Here is a 22653-nt window from a genome sequence, read left to right on the forward strand (position 1 = left end):
CCAGAAGGTTTCCCAGCCTGTTCTTGTCACTTGTGCGATGGGGACTTCACCTTCCAGACCCGCACCATTCCCAGTGGGTGGGGGGCTGATTGGCTCTTTCCTCTGGGGTCTGCTATTCCCGTTCCACTGGGCAGATTTCAAGGAAAGTGGCTGGGGTGACTCAGCTCCTGTCCCACTTCCCTACTCACTGGCTGGCGGCTTCCTGTGGCTCCCGTGGGCCTCCTGGGCCAAGGGGCTGGACCTCCTCTGGCCGGGCTCCTTTCCACATCCATGTCGCCACAAGTCCGCCCAGGGCTGGGTTCCCAGGTTTTGGGTGGAAACAGGTCGGTAGGCGAAAGTAGAAAGTGGAGGAGCAGCCCTGGCAGACACAGGCTCTGTGGACCTGCCCCGCCCTCCCTCCAGCTGTTCCAGCCTACACCGGCTGAGGGCCCAGCTGGCATCGCCGTTGGTGGGTCTGCTCCAGAGTCATGGCACGTGGCACACTGAGTCTCCTGCTGAGTGGACTCTGCCCAGAGCTTTTCAAGGTTGAGCTGGGAGCTGAGCATGATGCTGCATGCCTATAGTCCCAGCTGCTCGGAGGCTGAGGTGGGAGGATCACTTGAGCCCTGGAGGTTGAGGCTGCAGTGAGGCATGATCACACTGCTGCACTCCAGCCTGGGTGACAGAGAGAGACCCTGTCTCTAAAAATATTTTGTAATTAAAAAGAAAATTTTAAACACTAACTTGGGGACAGAACTGATGACAGGAAGAGCCCCCAGGTTAGCAGACACACAGGGTCCCCTGGGTTCCCACCCTGGCCGGCACCTGCCCCTGCATGGTTGAAAGCAGGGGGCAAAGTGCACCTGGGGACCCTCCTTCCAAGGGGCTGAGACAGGGGTCTGTCGCTCACCCATCTGTTCAAGCTGCCCCTCACCTGTGTCTCCATCGGCAGCATGGGCTAGGCATGGGCTGTGGACACCGGAGCCGTCCCCTAGGGCTCTGGCCCTGCTAAGCTCTGGGCAGCCCCCGGCCATGGCATCTCACAAAGACGTTCCAGGGACCCTCTTTAGGGAAGCACGTCCGGTAGTTACCGTTCTGTTCTCTCCACCGTTCCCCTGAGCAGTTGCAGCGGGGCCGGGCCCTGGGGTGGGTCGGGGCCGTGCAGAACAGCGGCTGGGGGAATGCCTGAGCCGAGCTCGGCTGGGGAGTCTTTACCTCTCCGGGTGCCCTGCCCTCCCCTTTCCTTCCATGCTCGCTGCTGGCCTGGTCAGGGCCTGTGGCTTTGGGGCCTGACCACGGTGAGGCCACGCCCGCCTCGGTCTACAGTGCGCTGGAGAGTGGTCCTGTGGCGTGGCCCCCAAGCGCCTCTTAAAGACCGATGACTCTTCAGGGGGTGCCGGTGGTTTTTGCCTGGCGGGGTGGGCCTGAGCCTGGGTGGCTGACAGGTGCTGCTGTGGCGCTGCGGTCCTGTTTTTGCCCTCAATACACTCCCTCGCTGACTTTGGGGTGTCAGCTGTTAATTACATCTGCCCGTGGGCCTCAGCGCTAATCTTCGAGGTCAGACAGCAGAGGTGACGCGGACACGGGCTGCCTCTTGTCATCTCCAATCCAGATCCGTTTCATTGACTTAACTCCTGGCTGAATACCGCCAGTTAATTACAGCAATCACAGACCTTCCTGCTCCAGCCACGCGGTGAGAATGAGGGTTCGAGGGCCAGGTGCCAGCCTCGCTAATGGGCCTGGCGTTGTGGGGGCATCGATCGAGGCTGAGCTGGCTGGTCTGATGAGTAGCACCCGCCAGCGGGGATTAGGCCGCTGAGTGTCAATGGCCTGCCCTGCCCCAGAGAAGCTCCCCACCCTTCACCCACCCCTCTTACTTCCTCACCCGCGCCTCTTTCTTCCTCACCCACTGGTGCTTAGAAACGAGGCTCATTCAGAGACTCTGGAGTGGCAGCTGCCTTGGTCATGGCAAGGGGTCTCTCTGGGAGGTGGGGTTCAGAGGGATGGGGCAGCATGGGGTCTGGAGCCAGGCAGCTCCAGGTCTCTGTGCATCCCCTTATGGCATGGGCTATAAGGTTCTCCCCATTTGTAGAGTTGGGGTACAGAGAAGTCTCTGAGGTTCCTGGGGCTTGGCACGTGGTGGGGCTCGGAAGCTCCTGCTCCCAGCTCCCCACTGTCCGGTCCCCAGGGAGGACCCACAGCCCACCTGGCCATTGGCCCCAACTTTTCCCCTGGGCAGCAGGAGCCCGGATCATGAGCTCTTGGCAGCCTCTGCCTGGGTGGGGTGGCGGCTCTCGGTGTGTTGGTTTTATTTCCTTTTTCGGCTCCACAGCACAAATGTCCACATTTCCCCTACTCACAGCTACTGGAATCTAGATGGGAACACCCTGGGTTTGGGCCGGGTGCACAGGAGGGCTTTCCATGAAGTAGGGTGGTGGGGCAGGCACCGTTACTCATGCCTGTAATCCCAGCACTGTGGGCAACTGAGGCGGGAGGATCGCTTGAGCCCAGGAGTTTGAGACCATCCTGGGCACCACAGCGAGACCCTGTCTCTACCAAAAACAAACAAACAAACAAAAAACTAGCCGGGCCTGGTGGCACGTGCCTTTAGTCCCGGCTCCTCAGGAGGCTGAGGTGGGAGGATCACTTGAACCCAGGAGGTTGAGGCTGCAGTGAGCTGTGATTGCACCACTGCACTCCAGCCCAGCCTGGGCAGCAGAGTGAGATCCTGTCTCAAAAAAAAAAAAAAAAAGAGTGTTGGGCACAGTACTGTTGACAGCGGCCACAAGGTGGGCCCAGCCTGTATGCCACCAGCTGAGGGACGGACCAGTAAGGAGTGGGTGGACAGAGGCACACAGTGGACTGTCACTTAGCCGCGGGAAGGAGAGATTCTCTTAGGTGCTGCAATGTGGATGAACCGTGAAGACACGGCTCCCAGTGAGAGGAGCCAGGCGAGAAGGGCCACGCGGTGGGATTCCCTTGATGTGAAGTCTCCGGAACAGGCCCTTCTTTAGAGACGGAGAGCCAATGCGTGCGGGGCCTGGGGAGACGGGAGTGGTTGCTCATGGGTAGGGGGTTCCTTTTGGGGTGACGGAAATGCTCTGAAATGGATTGTGGTGATGGTCGCACAACTCTGGACGTGCTAGAACCGTGGGGCCGCGCGCTGGGTGGGTGAATTACGCGGGATGGAATCATAGCTCGGTGAAGCTATAACAACTGAAACCCAAGAGCCATGGAGGTTCCATGGAATTTTTTTTTTTAAACAACGATCCTTTCCCTAGTTTTTATTTTTTTTCCCCAAAAACTTAAAGTGAACTTTTTCTCAAAATCTAAATACATACAGAAAAGCGCCTAGACTGCCAGTGTCCAGAACGAACCCACAGATCAGGAGGGCTGAGGCCTGTTCTCCTGTCCCCACCCTCTGCCCCTGAGGTGAGGGGCGTGGTGCCCCGCCCTGCAGCCAGCGTTTCCCCTCCTCAGGTGGATCTAGTAGCCCGCCGGCACAGTGCCCAGTCCCAGGTGTTGGCCCGGTCGACTTGGGGTGGTGGAGTTCTCAGGGTGTGGGCAGTGGTTGGCTAGTCCATCTGGGGGTCTGGGGTTGGGTCACGCCTCAGGGGCAGCAGCCCTCAGCCTCATTCCCCACCTGGGCCAGATCCTGGTGGGTGGGAGCGTGATGAGGTGGGGGCCTTGCCTTGGGCAGTTCGGGGGTTGCTGGGGAGAATGTGAACGTGCCTCTGGGCCGCTCTGGGGCGTGGCCGATCTGGCTAGACGGAGTGTCTGTTGTGGAGCTGCCCTATCCAGTTGTGCAGGTTGCACACAAGCCCAGGAAACCACATTAAAGAGGCCCAGATACCGTTCTGCAGGAAGCAACGGACTTGCCCTCGGGACAGGGCAGCTGCCCCACCCCAAGGGAGCACCTTTGGGAGAGCAAAGTTCTGTTTCCACATCGGGATGCCTGTGGGGCCTCTGCCTCCTGGTCACGCCACTAAGGCCACTTTGGCTGCCTGAGGCCTCTGGGCACCCCCTGTGAGCAGCAGTTTTCTTTGGTGAATGTGCGCGTGCCCACTCCGGACACAGTGAAGGGGAGATGAGGCTGCTTCTGCCCCCGGAACCAAGGCCAGGTCTGAACAGAAGTCGGGCAGGATGCCGGGAGCTGATGGGCTGGGGTCCTCCTTCTGGAAAGGGCATCTACCTGCTTCTACCACGCATTCTACCTGCTTCTACCACGCTTCCTATGCATGCATTCTACCTGCTTCTACCATGCTTCCTATGCATGCATTCTACCATGCTTCTACCATGCTTTCTATGCATGCATTCTGCCTGCTTCTACCACGCATTCTACCTGCTTCTACCACGCATTCTACCTGCTTCTACCACGCTTCCTATGCATGCATTCTACCTGCTTCTCCCACGCTTTCTATGCATGCATTCTACCTGCTTCTACCACGCTTCCTATGCATGCATTCTACCTGCTTCTACCACGCTTCCTATGCATGCATTCTACCTGCTTCTACCACGCTTCCTATGCATGCATTCTACCTGCTTCTACCACGCTTCCTATGCATGCATTCTACCTGCTTCTACCACGCTTCCTATGCATGCATTCTACCTGCTTCTACCACGCATTCTACCTGCTTCTACCACGCATTCTACTTGCTTCTACCATGCCCCGGGCTGTAGGTGCCTCCCAAGTGGGGCTTTTGCAAACAGAAGGTGCCCAATTGTACCACACCTCCTCAGATGGCAGCATCTGTCCCCGTGGGCCCAAGTGCAAGCTTGCACAGCTGCTGTGACACGGGGTCTGGGTGCCTGAACGCACGGTGCTGCTGGTGGGTGGACATGTGCCTGCTCCTGCTGGAACCTGCCCCCAGTGGACACTGCTGTGATATCATAGAATCCAGGGCCACCTCTGCGGCCTGCCTTGTTGGGGACCTTGGCCTGTGCTGGACACCAGTTGGGTGCTGTGTGTGCCTCTTGGGGGCGGAGATCTGCCCTGGGCCTGTGTCAGGGAAGGGGGCTTGGGGAGGGTGAGCCGGACACTGAGCTGTGTACAAGTCCACAACCGTGTGAGCGGCACGAGGTCTCCCCGCTGCAGGCTGCAGGCCAGCCGGAGTCGGGGGTGTGAGTGTGCAGCCGTGCACCCCCTGGGCTTCGTCAGGCTGGGCAGGGCTCTTGACCCCCAGGCAGCAGAGCTTCTGGAACCCCAGGCCCAGGCCTCACTGGCAGCCCCAGCCTCTGGGGAGCTGCTCTGGTCTCGGTCACGGGGGCTTGATCCCCACAACAAGGGGGGGGGTGGGGGCTCCGGAAGCGAGGCTGGTGCCTGGTTGGGGACAGGAGGACTCTTGCAGCAGGTGCCTTTGGACACCCCCTACCCCTGCCACCACACACACTTGGTCCCCTTCTGACCTGGGCGGGAGGGAGACAACAGAGGGGAGCCCTGGTCTGAGAAGGCAGTTTTGCTCCATGAAGGAGGAAGCCCCTTCCCTTAGGGCCTGGGAACACTCCTCCCCGTCCTCCCCGGTCCAAACCCCTGCCGCACCTGCAGATGGGCCGGGGCGGCCCTGCCCGTCCATGCCCCCTGTCCTTGGGGTATCCTCTTGGCTGTAGCCACCAGTCACCCAGGCCCAAAGCCCTCCTGCCTGCCCTGCACCCTCCCCCTGCTACCCGCGGGGCTGCAGCCACCCATTCTCCCATCCCTGCTGCGTTTTGGGGGCTGAGGGGTTCTTTCTGAGGCGACGGGCGAGTTCCGGGGTAGGTCGTGGTGGTGGTTGTAAACAGCGAACCTAGGCAAACCTCCTGATGTGTACCCTTAAAGATGGTGAATTATATCTCATTTTCTGAAATTTAAAAATAAATGGATCTTTTAAAGAAACTCCCCCAGGGTCACCGTGGGTCACCCTGAATGGCTGCCATTTGGGCTTCCTCAGCCACCACCGCACTGCATCCCTGCTTGGCTGGGCCCCGTAGAGGGGTGCTGACCACTTCTTTTTTTGTTTTGAGACGAAGTCTCGCTCTGTCGCCAGGCTGGAGTGCGGCAGCACGATCTCTGCTCACCAGAACCTCCGCCTCCCGGGTTCAAGCGATTCTCCTGCCTCCGCCTCCCGAGTAGCTGGGACTACAGGCGCGCGCCATCACGCCCGGCTAATATTTGTATTTTTAGTAGAGACAGGGTTTCACCATGTTGGCCAGGATGGTCTCGAACTCCTGACCTCGTGATCTGTCTGCCTCGGCCTCCCAAAGTGCTGGGATTACAGGCGGGAGCCACCGCGCCCGGCCAGTGCTGACCGCTTCTTGTGTTTGTTCCCTGCTGCACTGCAGCCCCATGTCTGCCCTGCTTGATGGGAGCCCCCGGAGGGGGCGCCTTTTCCTGTGACCCCCCAAGCACATGGGGGCTCCCCGGGAAGACTCAGAGGCTTGGGGTCTCTGCTGCTTACACGTGGAGCTGCCTCTCGGTGGGGCAGGGTGTGTGGCCCAGCTGGCCTGTGTGTCCTGGGATGTCCACAGGCCCTTGGTTCATGACACCTCCTAGAAACACGTGTGTTCTCTAACTCTGGGGCTCCATGTCTGTCCCGGAAGGTGCTACCTTCGTCTCTCACTCAGGGACGTCAGGCACTGGTCCTGCCCGCCCTGCCCAGGCTCCTCCTGTCTGGTGGCGGTGGGCGGCCCTGGGCACCAGAGCATCTGTGCTTTGTGCCACGTGAGCAGGGCCCGTGGGGCAAAGGGATAGGGAGTGCCCGGGGTAGACTGAGCTGCTGACCCGATCGGGCCTCAGGAGAGGTGTCTCCTGCCTGCCTGTCTTGGGTGGGGGCCCATGAGGCTGGTAGACCTGGAGGTCTGGGGCCTCACTTGGAGCAGGGGGGCAGCTGGAGCCCAGGTCCCCAGCTGGCACTGCACGTGGCTGTCACTGCGGCTCCCACTCAGGCCACCGTCTTCTCCTCCACAGGGTCCTCACTGAGCAGCGAGTCGTCCCCCGTGTCCTCTCCGGCCACCAACCACAGCTCCCCCGCCAGCACACCCAAGCGCGTGCCCATGGGCCCTATCATCGTCCCCCCTGGGGGCCACAGCGTGCCCAGCACCCCCCCCGTGGTGACCATCGCTCCAACCAAAACCGTGAATGGTGTCTGGAGGAGTGAGAGCCGGCAGGTGAGTGGGGCGGGGCAGGGAGCCTAGCGTCCTCTAAGTGGGGAGGCTGGATTCAGGCATCCATTGGGGGCTCTGGAGCTTTCGAGGTTGAGTTTACATTCCAGACACCCCCTCCCCCACCCTGAGTTTCCGTCTCCTTCTCTGCAACGTGAGGGTGACAGCGGCACCCTCCTGGAGGCCCTGTGCGGGTGAGTACATCGGCCCACGCATCAGTCTGTCAGAAGAAACCACCCGCTGGGGGTGTCCCGTTATTTTCTCCTGTTCTGGAGGCCACAAGTTCACAATCCGGGGGCCGGCAGGGCTGGTTTCCCCAGAGGCCTCTCCTGGGTTGCCGGTGGCTGCCTTCTCCCTGGGTCGTCTGTGGTGTCTCCATGTCTGGGTCCTGATCTCCTCTTCTCATAAGGACACCAGTCAGCTGGTTTAGCGCCCACCCTAATGTCCTTATTCTCATTCGGTCACCTCTTTAAAGACCGTGTCTCCAAATGCAGTTCCGTTCTGAGGCCCTGGGCATCAGGGCTCTAACACGGATTTGGGCGGGGGTGGCAGTCCAGTTCAAGCTGTGAAAGTGGTGTTTGCACGCTGAGCACCCGGCACACTAGCTGTGACTGTCATAGTCTGTGAACTGAACAAAGAATTGAGGTAGGAAAGATCCCAGCCCAGACGCTATCAGAACAAGACATCTGGTGGGTTTTGTGTTTCTGTCTTACTTTTGGGGCTCCCAGCGGAGGCCCCTCCCCAAGTTTTCGGGGCTCCTTATGTCTGTGGGCCCCTCGCTCTGCACTGACTGGGGCCTGCCTGTGTGGAAGGAGCTGGCACTGGGAGCTGCTCTTCTGCCGCTGCCTGGGGCCTGTGCGCCCTCAGGTGGGTACCTGCAGCTCTCCCGGCCCCCCACCCCTGGCGCGCAGCCTGGAGTGGGCCCTTCCTAATTAAGAGCGATTCTCAGGGGCTGCTGTCACCTGGACTTTTCTGCTGAGTTCCCAGAGGGACAGCCCCACTTGGAAATACTAATTAAACCACAAAGAAGGTGGGGAGGAGGGGAGAGTCACTCTTGCCTGAAGCTCCCTCTCCCCCAGGGGAGGACATGGGTATTGGAGCCACCTGCTCATCATCAGGGCCTGTCTGCCCTCTATCCCCAGAGGTGTGGGAAGGGAGCCAGCCTCAGTCCACAGGTGACAGCCCCCGGGCAGGCCCTGATCCAGGGTCCCAGTGGGAATCCCTGGGAGCTCCGGACTGGGACCCCCGGGGCCTGACGTTGCCTCTGCTTCCTTTCACGCCTTCCCTGGCTGAGGGGACAAACCTGCCCAGGGTCCTCACCTTGCTGGACCTCCTCTGCCCCTGAAGCCTCTCGTAGTTTGACTAATCCTCATGTGAGGTCTGGAGACCGAGGGGCAGGGCGTGGCCTGGAGGGTGGACCCTGGCCACAGGGGCCTCCACACCCCACAGGGCTTGGAGCAGCCCAAGGCGGCCCTCGTCCTGGTTTGAGGGAGGCTGAGGGAGTTGTTACCAGCTCCGCTGCCTCCAGAGGCCGCCCCCCAGGGCCAGCCTTGACCCCATGGGCCCTGAATCACCCGACTCAAACAGCTGAGGCTCCTTGCGCCCCACTGGTGGGGCCTGGCTGCTGGTGCCAGCGCCCGCAGCTCATGGGAGGCCACTTCCCTGCCCCAGCCTGGACCAGGAGCTTCTACCAGCCAGGACCCTGCACCCAGCCACTGCCTTGACCCCGACCAGAGCTCCTGGCCTAGACCCAGGACGCCTCGAGGGGATTCCAGCGCCTTTTCCGGCGACTCCTCCGCTCTGAGCTGGTCCCTCCTCGGAGGGTCCTTACCGCCTCGGGAACATTGAGCTACCCCAGAGCAGAGCAGGGGCGCGACAGGCCCGCCCCAGCAGTGTACCACCGCGGCGCTTAATGGAACACGGTGCCGCCAGGGAAGGCGCGGGGCCGGCAGCTGGATTAGCAGGTGATGTACGGCTCCTCGCTCGGGCACAGAGGCTCAGCGGGGCATTTAATCCTCTCGGAGTGGGGAGGCAGAGAGAGGATTCCCCTCCCACCCGGCCCAAAGCTGTGGCCATGAGTCTCCGAGGCTGCGGACGTGGGTGGCAGTTGCCGGGCCGGAGGCTTCTCGGCCCCTTCTCGGGGTCACCCCTCTCTCCCAGGTGTAGTGGGAGCTGCGAGAGGAGAAATGAGATGAAAAAGCCTGTTTTAAAGCTAACAGGGCATGTCCCGCCTGTCTGACTATGGAACCCTTGCTCTAATCACCGGAGAATGACGGATTTGCTCCTCCCCCTCCCCCTCCGCCCCTCCTCCCCCTCCCCCTCCGCCCCTCCTCCCCCTCCCCCTCCGCCTTCTTTCTTTCATCGTTGCAGCTGCGGCTGCAGCCGCTGCTCAGAAATGAAAAGCTGCCCACAGATGCGCCCTGATGCGTCTGTCTGTGGAGACGGCAGTGAGACCCCGGCTGCCGCTATCGGGGTGCCTTTGGGGTAGCTGCCGAGCCTGCCGGGCCTTGCCTGGATGGGGGGCAGCCCTGTGCCTCACTCCAGGCCCCGCTGACCTAGTTCCCAGGTGTCTGTGCCAGGGTTGGCCGGGCGCCAGCCAGACGGAAGCCACAGACATGTGGGTCTGGCTCGCCGGGCCCCTGCCCCGCCTGCTGGCTGCCCCCCAGCCCCCCGGACTCCCTGTTTGTCCTCAGCCAGGCCAGGAAGGTGCCATCTGGCCTGCGAGCAGGGCTTTGTCCTCGGCTGAGGGGAGAAGGGGTTCAAGGGCCGTGTCTGGGCTGGGGACAGGCCCCTCCTTGTGGCGGGGCGGCTGGGGCCCTGTGCTTTGCCGTTTGACCCGGCCCACGGCGCGGGCAGCATGCGGAGGAGGGCGGCAGGCCTGGGCTGTTGGTAGTTTGACCCTGGGTGCTGTCCTCAGGTCGAGGTCTGTCCTCCAGCCCTCTTCTGACTCTGGCCACCCAAGGCTGGGTGATGATTGAAGCCCCTGGCTGTCGTCTCCCTCCTGCCCTGGAGGCCTCCCCACCAGCCTGGGAGGGGGAGTCCAGGTACCCCGGGTGCCTGAGCAGGCGAGGCCCCTGTTCTGGGCATCCAGAGACCCACTAGCTTTAGGCCTGGTGTTCATTGGGGTGCTACTTGGATGCTGGGGGGCCAGGGGCCACTCCGTCTTGTTAAGTCCATCCCAGACCCTAGGAACAGGGTGTGTCCTTCCTCGTGCTCCGTTCCTCAGATGTTTGGCCCTATGCCAGGCAGGGTAGGGGCGTGAGGCAGGATCTAGAAGCCCAGCCTGGAAATAGCCTCACGGGGCTGGGGTAGGCAGGCCAGCCTGGCAACACACCTGCCATGTCCGGGCCCCCACCCTGCTGGTGCGTCCCCCACATGCCCGTGCACAGCTGTGCCATCAACTCTGCTGCCCTGTGAGTCCCCCGCATGCCCGTTCATAGCCGTGCCATCAACTCTGCTGTCCTCTGAGCAGGTGCCGTGACGGGCACATGCCATTGATGTGTGCACGAGGCACGACAGGATGGCCAGGTCTCCCAAGGTCAGGTTGGCCCCTCGGCCACTCCCCCACTACCCCGGTTGCTGACACCGGCTGGAGACCCCAAGGCCAGGCGCTGGCTCCTCAATAGGAAGTTCCCGGCCCCACGCAGGGCGTCAGTGCCCATGTGTACCTCCCACCCTCGAGACCAGCACCCTGGAGAGGCAGGTCAGAAGTCGTGAACCCAGGAGGACCCTACAGAGAAGGGGGGCCGGGGCTCAGCCCGCGGGAAGGGAGCAGATGCTGCCTCTCATTGAAGATTCCAGGCGGCGGCGGCGGCGGCGGCTCCTCCAGTTAATCCTCGCTGACTGTCTCCTGGAGGGTGGAGAGAGGGGAGGCGCCGGCCCGGGCTGCCTGCACTGCCTCTGCGCGGGTGCCATGTGCTGCTGCCGGGTCACCGTCTGCCGCTATGAAGATGGATGGGCCCAGGAAGAGGGGCTGGCGGGTCAGGGACACAGGCACGGCCCCTGGGAGACAGATGCTTCTCCACGGTGGGGCAGGTCTCAGAGCCCCTGGGCCATCATTCCTGCTGATCTTGTGGGGAGACGGCCATGGCCTCCTTGTTTTTTGGGTGTTTGGCATTTCGTGGCTCAGGGAGGCAGAGCGGGGCTGGTGCTCTTCAGGAGCACTGCCCGCTGATCAGCAGTCGTTACCTGACATGGCCAGATGGAACGTGAGGAAGGGCCGGGTTCCCGTGGCTCTGCATCCCTGGGAAGCTCAGAGGGGCCAGCGTGGCCATGGCTCTCAGACACCCCCAGGTCAGGGTAGGCCTGGGCAGTGCTGTCCCCACATGGGGAAGATGCTGGGGCTGAGAACGGCTGCCCCAGTGACAGAGTGACGCCTGGGTTGGCAGCCATCCAGAGTCCAGAGCACAGCCCCCATCTGGGCCGCCCTGAGGCTCCCTCCGCCCCCCTCCTCCCCCCTCCTCCCCCCTCCCCCTCCTCCTCCTCCTCCCCCCTCCTCCTCCTCCTCCTCCTACCCCCTCCTCCTCCTCCTCCTCCTCCTACCCCCTCCTCCTCCTCCTACCCCCTCCTCCTCCTCCTCCCACTTAGTCACACGAATAACAGGAACAAGCAAGGCCTTTTCATGCTCTGGTTTCTCCGGGCTGGACCCTGCGTGTGTGCGGGGCAGCCTCTGCGTGGCTAGGGGTGGCACGGCCTATCCTTGAACTTGGCAGGGACCTCAGCCCGGAAGGTGGGCTTTGGGCCACTGCCTCCTCCTGCTTTGTGCCTGGAGAAGACCCCTCATCTGAGTCCTCTGGACCACCTTCCCAGCTACACCCAGGTCCACTGTGTCCAGGAGCCTGGGACAGGCGAGCTGTTGCCTTCCCTGCCCCACCGTGTGTGTGAAGGCCGGTACCCCAGCTGGCCAGTCAGGGCCCAGCTGCTGCCTGTTCTGGTGGGCTCCAGGGCCAGGGCCACCCCAGGAGGTGGTTGGGGGCAGACCAGCACCTTCGGCCCAGGGGCAGTGCCAGCTTCCTTTGCCCCTGCCCTCCACGTGGGCACCAGGGCCAGGACATCTGCGGCCAGGTGGGCAGCTGTCGGCGCAGTTGACGTCTTGGCTACATCGTGGCACTCGCTTCACGGCGTGCTGGGTGCCAACGGTGTCTGCTTCCCCGGGTGTGTGTCTGGTGTGACCTTCGGATGTCCACACCAGGAGGGGTGGAGGCAGGAGCCCCTGCCACCCTGCATCCTTCACCTGCACACATTGTGTTTCTGGGGGGTTCTAGTTCTTTTGCTGGACTGAGGAGGCCCAGGGAGGGAGACGGATCCCGAGACGCACTTCACCCCAGACCTGTCGCAGCCACATCCCCTTTCTTACGGTTCTGCTTCCCACACCACATGCACCATGTTTTGCGTAGAAAGCCTTAGGGAAAGGATGTTTCTAGAACATGAACTAAATCTAGCGCCTTCCCGTGAGTCAGGAGACCTGGCTGTGTCCTGTGGTCAGTGGCCTATACCAGGCTCCTGCCCTGACTGGACGCTCTCCTCCCGCAGGATGCCGGCTCCAGGAGCAGCAGTGGAGGTCGGGAACGCCTCATTGTGGAGCCCCCGCTCCCTCAGGAGAAGGCAGGGGGACCAGCCATCCCCTCGCACCTGCTCAGCACCCCCTACCCCTTCGGCCTCTCCCCCAGCTCAGTTGTGCAGGATTCCCGCTTCCCGCCACTCAAGTAAGTTGGTCGGCGGGGACTTCGGTGAGGTGGCCAGGTGGGGACACAGTGCTCAGGGTCTGGGTCCCCAGGCAGCCTGCGGTCTGCACAGATGAGGCTGTGCCTGCTAGATGGTTGTCGGCCGCTGAGCCCTGGGGATTGCAGCCCTGTCTGTGCCCCTTCACACTGAGGTGGCAGTGGCAGCTCGCTCCCCCCGCTGCTTAAGCCCCGTCCTCGTTCGGGGTGCCAGGAGTCTGGGTGCCGACTGAGCGCCAGGGGTGATGCAGGGAGTTTAGCCGTCCCCCCATGCAGGAGCAGGTGTGCACTCACCTGTCCCCACCTTGCCCACTATCCCCGCCTGCAGCCTCCAGCGGCCCGTGCACCACGTGGTGCCCCCCAGTACCGTGACCGAGGACTACCTGAGAAGCTTCCGGCCCTACCACACCACCGACGACCTCCGCATGTCCTCACTGCCTCCCCTCGGCCTGGACCCGGCCACTGCTGCAGCCTACTACCACCCCAGCTACCTGGCCCCACACCCCTTCCCCCACCCGGCCTTCAGGTGAGGCATCCCCCACGCGCCCTCTCGTCTAGGTGCTGGCCTGTTCCTGGCAAGATGGAACCTGGCGGGGAAGGTGTTTCTTATGACCTGAGAGCCAGGCTCCTAGGGGAGGGTCTAGAGTAGCCCCTGAAATCGTCCCCAGCTTTGAGCCTAAATTCAGCCCTGATGGCCCATTAGGGGTCCCCTCCTGGTAGACAGTCCCCCTTGGTGACTGTACTGTCATCCTTGGCTCCTCCCCTTCTCACCGGGGGGTCCATTGACAGCAAGTCACTGTTAAGAGAGCAGGGCTTTGCCCGTGGGAGAGGCGATGCTTTGCTGTGTAGCAGGAGACCTCGGTGGCACTGTGGTCTGGCCTGGGTCCGTGGAGAAGCTCTGCCCATCCTTGTCAGAGGTCAGAGGGGCCTGTAGTCATGTCATGGACCACCCCACGTCAGGGCAGCCCAGCCTGCTCGCCAGCCTTGGAAGGGCCTGGGCGCTTGACCACTCTGTGCTGGTCTGGCTGAGCCGAGGGAGGTGGCAGGCGGCGCCCTGGAACCCCAAGCTGTCGGCACCTAGCAGCCTCCGGCATCAAGGGGCTTTGGGGCTAGCAGCAGGCATGGTCTTCATCCCCAGCCATTTTGTCACGTTCCCCACGCTCAGGCAGGTGTGTGTACCTGGCTGAGACACACCTGTCGACAGGGCTGGGTCTTCCCCTTGGTTCATTTGCTGCTCACAGCCCCGTCTTCTCTGCACAGGATGGACGACTCCTACTGCCTGTCTGCCCTGAGGTCCCCGTTCTACCCCATCCCCACCCCCGGCTCCCTGCCCCCACTGCACCCATCAGCGATGCACCTGCACCTCTCTGGGGTCCGCTACCCTCCCGAGCTCTCCCACTCATCCCTGGCAGCGCTGCACTCGGAGCGCATGTCTGGCCTCAGCGCGGAGAGGTAAGTGCGTCTCGAGCCGAGGAGCCCCTCTGCCCTCCCTGTCCCTTGATGGCAGCTGGGCAGAAAGCCTGGGCTGGAACCTGACTGGACTCCTTGGCCATGCCTGTCCTCACAGTTTGTCCACCTGCCAAATGGGACAATGATCGTTCAGGCTCTGCTCTGAAATAGCGCCTGTCTCGGTAGCCGTGGTCTCCTGCAGTAAACCTGCAGGCCGAGGAGCTCTCGGGCGTGCTTGGGCATTTTGTAAGCCGCTTTGATTGTATGGACCTTAAGTTCTTCCTGCACCAGTGAAACCCGGCTCACCTCCCGTCACTGTTCAGATTAGCGCCCTGGCTCGTTCCTGGTTATGCTTTTTAAGGGCCTGCCCCAGGTCCGTCTCTTGTTCCTGGTGCAGCAGAGCCCCCAACTCTTTCCATGTGCTGCAGGCTGCAGATGGACGAGGAGCTAAGGCGGGAGAGGGAGCGCGAGCGCGAGCGCGAGCGTGAGCGTGAGGCTGACCGCGAGCGGGAGAAGGAACGTGAGCGCGAACGCGAGAAGGAGCGCGAGCAAGAGAAGGAGCGTGAGCGTGAGAAGGAGCGCGAGCGCGAGCTGGAGCGCCAGCGGGAGCAGCGGGCCCGGGAGAAGGAGCTGCTGGCCGCCAAGGCCCTGGAGCCCAGCTTCCTGCCCGTGGCCGAGCTGCATGGGCTGCGTGGCCATGCCACTGAGGAGCGGGGCAAGCCCTCGGAGCAGCTGACCCCAACCCGAGCAGGTACCTGGGCGTGGGTGGGCTGTGCTGGGCAAGGTCTCAGCCACCCGCGGGGAGGAGCCCTGAATCGCAGCACCTGCCGGTTGCCGTGGTGTAAATGTTCCCCAGCTGAGTTCGCCCTAAAAGCGTGGTGTGGCTGAACATGGAGTAGGGAGCAGAGGCACGTTGGCACACGATGTAGACACAGTGGATATAGCTGACCCCAGGAGGACAGTTGTGAAATGTAGCCGGGGCATTAGGAAGGGATGTTTTGAGTGCTTCGTTGATTTTATTTCTCTGTAAGTTTACGAAACAATTGTCCAGTAATAACAACCAGCTTTTGCATGTTTCCCGGAAATTTAATAGTCTGCTCTTTGAGCCAGCATGAGCTGGCTCTGGCACCGCACTGGCTGGGCAAGAGTTTTGCCAGCCAGCCACGGAGCGTTTCCTTCCAGGGACAAGACATGCTTCTTGAAAGCTCCCGTAGGGCCCCTTCTGAATATCTTGGTTCTGGCTGCGGGAAGAACCCTTTGGAAGGGCTCTGGTTTCTCTGGGCAGTTGGGTGAGAGAGGACGGGGAGGGAGCATGCTGGCCCACGTGGCTGAGATCCTGCTTGACCGTGTTTCCCCCCACAGAGAAGCTGAAGGATGCCGGCCTGCAGGCGCCCAAGCCCGTCCAACACCCCTTGCATCCGGTGCCCACCCCACACCACACGGTGCCCAGCCTCATCTCCAACCATGGCATCTTCTCTCTGCCTAGCAGCAGTGCTGCCACAGCCCTGCTGATCCAGCGCACCAATGAGGAGGAGAAGTGGCTGGCGCGGCAGCGGCGGCTGCGGCAGGAGAAGGAGGACCGGCAGTCTCAGGTGTCCGAGTTCCGGCAGCAGGTGCTGGAGCAGCACCTGGATATGGGCCGGCCCCCGGTGCCGGCGGAGGCAGAGCACAGGCCGGAGAGCACCACCAGGTGAGTGAGCCCCAGGAAGGAAGGAGGGATGAGCCTTCACGTTCCGATTTGTTCAGCGTGTATTGAGCACCTCCTGTTTGCCCAACATCCTGCCCCAGCGTTTCTGCCTGCCTCTTTCATTTCTGTTCTTTCATCTTCACGTTATAATGCCTGTCTTGCCTATGGGGAAGCTGAGACTGAGGAAGAAAATGGATTGCTCAAAGGTATCCCCACCAGTAAGTAAAGAGACCAATCAAGTCCATGTTGAGAGCCAGGGCACTGCACACGCAGCCTGACCTAGTTCCCAGGAGGCCATTCACAGCAGATGAAGAGTGCAAGGTAGAAGCTTTAATTACTAATAATACCTGTTCTCTCCATCTTCCTCTGCTTTTGAGCCTGGACTTCTTTTTTTAACAAGAAGGGGACAGCTTTTGATTTTAAGGAAAAAAATGAGTTTTATTGCTTTTGTATTAATAGTAAAAACACATGCCCGTTTTCTAGCCCTTTATGAAAGCATTTCCCAGGAAACTGTGTGGTGGTCCCTTGGACCCCGGCTGCAGACACAGGTCTTATGAGCTGGGCCCCAGTGCCCCCAGTCCTCCCTGCCCCTGCCTGCCCTGGGATTCCTGCCTTGGGGCTGTGCTGGTCCCAGGCCCCCACGTCATATACCCCCAGGGCTCACTCTGAAGGGCTGAGCTAAGATCCTCAGCCAGAGTTGGTGGGAATGACCTGCCAGCCTTCCATAGCTCTGCTCCAGGCCCAGCTCAGGGACCTAGGGACACTGATTCTGTTCCCTGAGCCTCACTTTCCTCAACTGTCCACAAAGGAGGGTGGGTAGGATGATTTCTGAGCATCTTTCCAGCTCTCAAGGCTGTGATGCTGTCCTGGGATAAGAAACCCTTGGGCTCTGGGACGGAAGCGTGTTGGTGGTTTAAAATCTGTCCTCCCTTCTGCCTGCCTCCGTTATCCAGTAGGGCAGCGAGGGAATGCGCCCCCGCTGATCAGGGATGACTGGGAGTGACTGTCACCAGGCCACAGCTAAGTCTCCCTGTGGCTCACACTGCCCGGCACGGCCGAAGTGAGATCCCTTCTGCCTCTCCCAGCCCCCGTCCCTGAGGCCTCTCAGGCTCAGCCTTGCCTACTACCCAGAGGACTGAGGGCAGCCAGCTCCTACCTGGCATGGCCTGATAACATCAGGGTGCCCTGACTCCTGTAGGCATCTTCTTCCTCAGGGCTCCCCAGGGCCCCAGCACAGGTGTTGTGACTTTGCCCACCCATGGACTGCTTCCAGCCAGTGTAGCTGCCCCATCCGGACCTGGGGCATGATGGGAAGCAGGGCCTGGCCTCCCCTGGCTGCGGTGGTTCCCCTGTGGCCGGCTGCACACGTGGCCTTACAGCATTGTGAACTTGGGGGCCTGACAGGGCCCTCATGCTCCAAGCTAGAAAACTGTTCAGTGCTTGGTGTGGCGCATGAAATATTTATTCTCCTGCAGGTTTCATTCCCTTGCTGTTTACTTAAGGACACAGCTTCTTCCTGTGGTTCCCTGTTGTATTCTGCTAAGAGGGACAGCAGCGTCGGATTTGTCCCTTGGCCTGGAGTCTGGAATAACTAGGGAGAGCCTTGGTGGCTGTGTTTAAACAGGGCTCCCGGGGCAGGCTAGAGATCCCTGAGCCCGGCCGTGTGCCTGCTGTGGCCTCTGCCTCTTTCTTCCCCTCAAGCTTTGCCCAGGGTCTCTGCACAGTATTGGTCCAGACATCCTGTGAGTATATCTCCCTTTAAAAAAAAGAAAGATAGCCAGGCACAGTGACACATGCCTGTAGGCCCAACTACTCTGGAGGCTGAGATGGGATGATCGCTTGAGCCCGGGAGTTCTCGGCTGTAGTGTACTATACCCACTAGGTGTCCCAGCTAAGTCCAGCACAAATATGGTGACCTCCTGGGAGCGGGGGACCACCAGGTTGCCTAAGGAGGGGTGAACCAGGGCAGGTCGGAAATGGAGCATGTCAAAACTCCCGCGCTGATCAGTAGTGGGATTGCTCCTGTAAATAGCCACTGCACTCCAGCCTGGGTAACACAGCGAGACCCATCTCTTAAAAATAAGCTGGAAAAACAATACTAAAAATAGCCCTGTGAGTAGATTAAATCTTGTTTTAATTGCACTGAGGAAACAAGCCATTTAGTGTAACTAAGGGGCAGCTTCTTGTTTAATGGAAGGGTTCTGATGTTAGAAATCCCTTCTTTCCCTCCCTGCCTCAGCAGGCCTTAGCCTGGGTCCTTGAAGACACTTTGAGGCCTCTGCCACAGGCCACTTGGGCAGTGGGGTCGCTGCAGTTGTGACAGGGGCCACTGGGGGGCAGTCTCGGCACAGGCCCCATCCTGACTGGGAGGATCTTCATTTCACAGTGGGTTTGGCTCTGGCTGGGCAGACACTGGAAGGTTGTCTTGTGGCTGCCTGCGGGGACAGTGGGGAGGGAGGAGTACTGCCCTGTGAAGGTGGCCAGCCTGCCCTGTGTCATGTGTCCCTACAAGGCACAGCAGGAGGAGAGGGTGCTGGTGGCAGGGCCACAGCCCAGTATATAGAGTGGGTTTCCCCATGGAAAGTGCGGATGAGCGCTTGCCCTTAGGGGAATTCACGCAAGCAGGTGGGAAAATCGACCGAAACTGGATCTGTCCCAGGCCTGAGAGGGTCTCTGCCTTCCCTAGCAGCTTAGGCTGGGAGCCTCCCTATCCTCTTGGAGCAGCCTGCACACACCTGCCGCAGGTGTTGGAGGGCCGGGCACAGTGGCTCACTCCTGTAATCCCAGCACTTCGGGAGGCCAAGGCAGGTGGATCACTTGAGGTCAGGAATTCGAGAGCAGTCTGGCCAACTTGGTGAAACCCTATCTCTACTAAATAGGAAAAATTAGTAGCTGGGCATGGTGGCACACGCCTGTAATCCCAGCTACTCGGGAGGCTGAAGCTGGAGAAGCGCTTGAACCTGGTAGGCGGAGGTTGCAGTGAGCTGAGCTTGCCCCACTGCACTCCTGCCTGGGTGACAGAGTGAGTCTTTTTTTTTGTTTTTTTTGAGACGGAGTCTTGCTCTGTCGCCTAGGCTGGAGTGCAATGGCACGGTCTCAGCTCACTGCAACGTCTGCCTCCTGGGTTCAAGCAGTTCTCCTGCCTCAGCCTCTGGAGTAGCTGGGATTACAGGCACCCGCCACCATGCCTGGCTAATTTTTGTATTTTTTAGTAGAGATGGGGTTTCACCATGTTGGCCAGGCTGGTCTCAAACTGCTGACCTTGTGATCCACCCTCCTCGGCCTCCCAAAGTGCTGGGATTACAGGGATGAGCCACTGCGCCCGGCCGAGTCTTTAAAGAAAAGAAAGGAAAAGAGAAAATGAAAGACAGAAACAATGATCCTTGGGGTGGAGTGTGTGTCCCCTCCCTGCAGCCCTGTTGGCACTGGCTCTCTAAGGGGCTGCGCCATCTGTGTCATCTTAGGAGCGGCAGGCAGCCAGGGAAGCCTGTGGATGACTGAAGGGTCTTTTCTCCCTGACTGAAGGGTTGGTTTCACTCCCTAGGCCAGGACCAAACCGTCACGAGCCAGGTGGCCGTGACCCTCCGCAGCACTTTGGGGGGCCACCACCTCTGATTTCGCCCAAGCCCCAGCTCCATGCTGCACCCACGGCCCTCTGGAACCCCGTGTCCCTGATGGACAACACCTTGGAGACGCGGCGGGCCGAAAGCCACTCTCTGCACAGCCACCCGGCTGCATTTGAGCCCAGCCGCCAGGCAGCCGTGCCGCTGGTGAAGGTGGAGCGGGTCTTCTGCCCGGAGAAAGCAGAGGAGGGGCCACGGAAGCGTGAGCCTGCCCCTCTGGACAAGTACCAGCCACCTCCGCCGCCACCACGAGAGGGAGGGAGCCTGGAGCACCAGCCCTTCCTGCCCGGGCCCGGGCCCTTCCTGGCTGAGCTCGAGAAGTCCACCCAGACCATCCTGGGCCAGCAGCGGGCCTCCCTCCCACAGGCGGCCACCTTCGGGGAGCTCAGCGGACCCCTGAAGCCTGGCTCGCCCTACCGGCCCCCAGTGCCACGGGCCCCCGACCCTGCCTACATCTATGATGAGTTCCTGCAGCAGCGCCGGAGGCTGGTCAGCAAGCTGGACCTGGAGGAGCGCAGGCGGCGGGAGGCCCAGGAGAAAGGTCTGCCTCCCCGCGGGCCCCGAGCTGCTCAGGGAGAGCCGCACAGTGGGGATGGGGAGCCTGCATGCCAGCCACCTGCCCCTCTCCGTCCACTCCTGCTTTTTGCCTGGGGTAGTCCCAGGCCCCAGGTGGCAAGTGCACTGGCTTCTTTGTAGCAGCATGACACCCTCGTAGGGGAGGCAGACCCTAGTCCCCGTGCCTGTCCTGCCTCGATGCAAATTGTCCCAAAAAGCCAAATCAAAGCCCGCCTGTGAAGATAGTTCCGCAGACAAGCATGATGAATAAGTGATGAGCGGAGGCTAATAAGATAGTTTTAAATATTAATAGTGCAGCATAACAGGAGAGCCGGCCTGGGCTCAGCGGGGGCTCCACATACAGGGCCGCTGCCACGAGCTGCAGCAGGTGGGTCAGGGGTTGAGGACGCGGCGGCTGGCACTGCCCCGGGTCAGGGTAGGAGGTCAGGCACTTCATTCTTATTTCTGCTTGGGGGTGGGGCGTCCTCAGCCAGCGGCTCCCTGAGTTCTCCAGAGAGCCAGGAAGAGCAACCGAGCAGGCGAGAGTGTGCAGAGGGGAGCAGGGGCTCCAGCCCAGTTTTCTTCCTGATGCTGAACACTCAGGTCCTGTCCAGTGCTGAGCTCAGCCTCCTCTTCAATAGAAGCTGGGGCACAGGCGGTCTTCCTGGTTGTTGGTCTAGGCTGGATGGAGGGCCCAGCCAAATTTCTCTCCCCTACTCACTTTGTAAAGGAGGAGGGAGATACCCCAGCGCCCCTGGGCAGGGGCTCTGCTATTGTTCTCTGTGTCTTAGAGAGCTCAGGCCTGTGTGTGCCTGTCTCCTCCCAGGAGATGGACTCAGATGGCCACAGCATGGGGGAGTGCATGTGCACAAGCAGCCCTGTGTTGCCGTGGACACAGCCCCAGGCCTGTGTGATGAATGGTTCCCTGCCAGGGGGAGGAGGGAGGTCTTGTCAGCCCAGGGGACCACCCAGCTACTGGGAGCCATGGATCCCAGGGAAGCCTGGTGTCTGCGGTCCTGCAAAGCCCCAGGACTGGGTTAATGTTGGTTTCCACCTCGGTTGAAAGGAACTGGCCTTCAGGGTGTTCAGGTGCCAGCAGGCCTGGCCTGATAGGTGCTCTGCACACATGAGGCCCTGCGGGCATGTCCACTGGACAGATGAAGGCTCTTTGTCTGGCTGAATACAACCATTTCTCCATCAGGGTACTACTACGACCTCGATGACTCTTACGACGAGAGCGATGAGGAGGAGGTCAGGGCCCACCTCCGTTGCGTGGCCGAGCAGCCGCCCCTCAAACTGGACACGTCCTCTGAGGTACTGGGCTCTCCTCCCCACGGACATGCTCTGGGCTGGGCTCTCGTTCCTAGCGTCCACACCCTGCAGTCCACCCCACTGTTGCTAGGTTCCTCCGAAGTCCTGGCGGGTTCGCCCCATGAAGCTCTTCTCCCACCAGGCGCAGCCAGCTACGGCCCACACTTCGAGGACCCCAGGAGGGGACCCCGGGACAGTGCAAGCATACCACTGCCAGTGGCTTCAAACTCATTTGTTTTCTTTCCCAATCTAGAAGCTAGAGTTTTTGCAACTTTTTGGCTTGACCACCCAACAGCAGAAGGAGGAATTGGTGGCCCAGAAGCGGAGGAAGCGGCGGAGGATGCTGCGAGAGAGAAGCCCGTCGCCCCCAACAATTCAGAGCAAGCGGCAGACGCCTTCACCGAGACTGGCGCTGTCTACCCGCTACAGCCCTGATGAGATGAACAACAGTCCCAACTTCGAAGAAAAGAAGAAGTTCCTGACCATCTTCAACCTGACCCACATCAGCGCTGAGAAGAGGAAAGGTAGGGCCTCGCCTGGGTAGGAAGGTGGGGGCTCACTGGGGTGGAAGTGGGTTTCTGAAGCAGCAGGTGGGGCCGGTGGACTCCAGGCAGGATCTGCGATCACTGAGCCTGAGGCTGCCCCTTTACTCCTCCCGGCTCCCGGGAACAGCCTCTCTGTTCTTACAAGCCCTCCATAGCAGCCTTACCTGACAGGCTTTGCTCTGAGAGCCCCACCATCTTGACCTGAGGACTACCCATGTCACTCATCCATCTCCCAGCGCCCGAGAAGGCGCTCTTTGAGCCGAGTGCTCCAGTGACCACCAGGCGTGAGGGGAGGTGCCAGGTGTTCCAGGTTTGTCTGCTGCAGGCTTTTCCTCTTGCTGGACCGCTTAGGTGGTCTGCTGGGTGTTGTGTCCTGGTGGCCGGAGGCCTGGGGAAGGGCTGCCAAGCAGGGCAGCACACACTGAGCAGATGGCTTGCCTTGAAAGATGCTTCCAGTTCAGTCTGGCCACACAGGGCCACATTGGGACAGACCCTCTGGGCTCGAATCCATATAGCAGAAGAAACAACGCAGCCACAACACCTGCTCAGGGTTTTGGCTTCCTTGGCCTGCAGCGCAGGCTGGCTTGGTGCCCAGATGTTGACGTTCCTGGCCCTGCCCCTTACGCACGCTTTCAAGTCCTCGTGGG

The 22653-nt window shown here is 60.8% G+C and overlaps 1 protein-coding gene and 1 pseudogene across 30 annotated transcripts in view, besides 1 other annotated feature; both read left to right on the top strand.

Annotated features, from left to right (window-relative positions):
* Window positions 1–22653, top strand: part of GSE1 (Gse1 coiled-coil protein) — a 506689-nt gene that overhangs the window by 472118 nt on the left and 11918 nt on the right. For 29 of the 30 annotated variants that reach the window (XM_005255859.6, XM_005255860.4, XM_005255861.6 and 26 more), the window contains 9 exons: window positions 6923–7122; window positions 12649–12821; window positions 13165–13362; window positions 14097–14288; window positions 14714–15036; window positions 15648–15975; window positions 19517–20136; window positions 21352–21464; window positions 21715–21985. In XM_005255859.6, the coding sequence (XP_005255916.3) occupies window positions 6923–7122; window positions 12649–12821; window positions 13165–13362; window positions 14097–14288; window positions 14714–15036; window positions 15648–15975; window positions 19517–20136; window positions 21352–21464; window positions 21715–21985 (2418 nt within the window). Of the gene's footprint in view, window positions 1–6922; window positions 7123–8787; window positions 9425–12648; window positions 12822–13164; window positions 13363–14096; window positions 14289–14713; window positions 15037–15647; window positions 15976–19516; window positions 20137–21351; window positions 21465–21714; window positions 21986–22653 lie in introns of those variants that run through there. The other variant, XM_047433837.1, reaches the window with a different exon arrangement.
* Window positions 9770–10671: an enhancer, noted in NCBI's record as "H3K27ac-H3K4me1 hESC enhancer chr16:85685005-85685906 (GRCh37/hg19 assembly coordinates)". NCBI's record gives its function as "activates a minimal SCP1, AML or CMV promoter by ChIP-STARR-seq in primed H9 embryonic stem cells {active_cell/tissue: H9 hESC(primed)}" and the evidence as "EXISTENCE:reporter gene assay evidence [ECO:0000049][PMID:30033119]".
* On the top strand, window positions 17749–18046 carry RN7SL381P (RNA, 7SL, cytoplasmic 381, pseudogene; annotated as a pseudogene).

Source organism: Homo sapiens, chromosome 16, assembly GCF_000001405.40.
Source record: "Homo sapiens chromosome 16, GRCh38.p14 Primary Assembly".
NCBI lineage: Eukaryota > Metazoa > Chordata > Mammalia > Primates > Hominidae > Homo > Homo sapiens.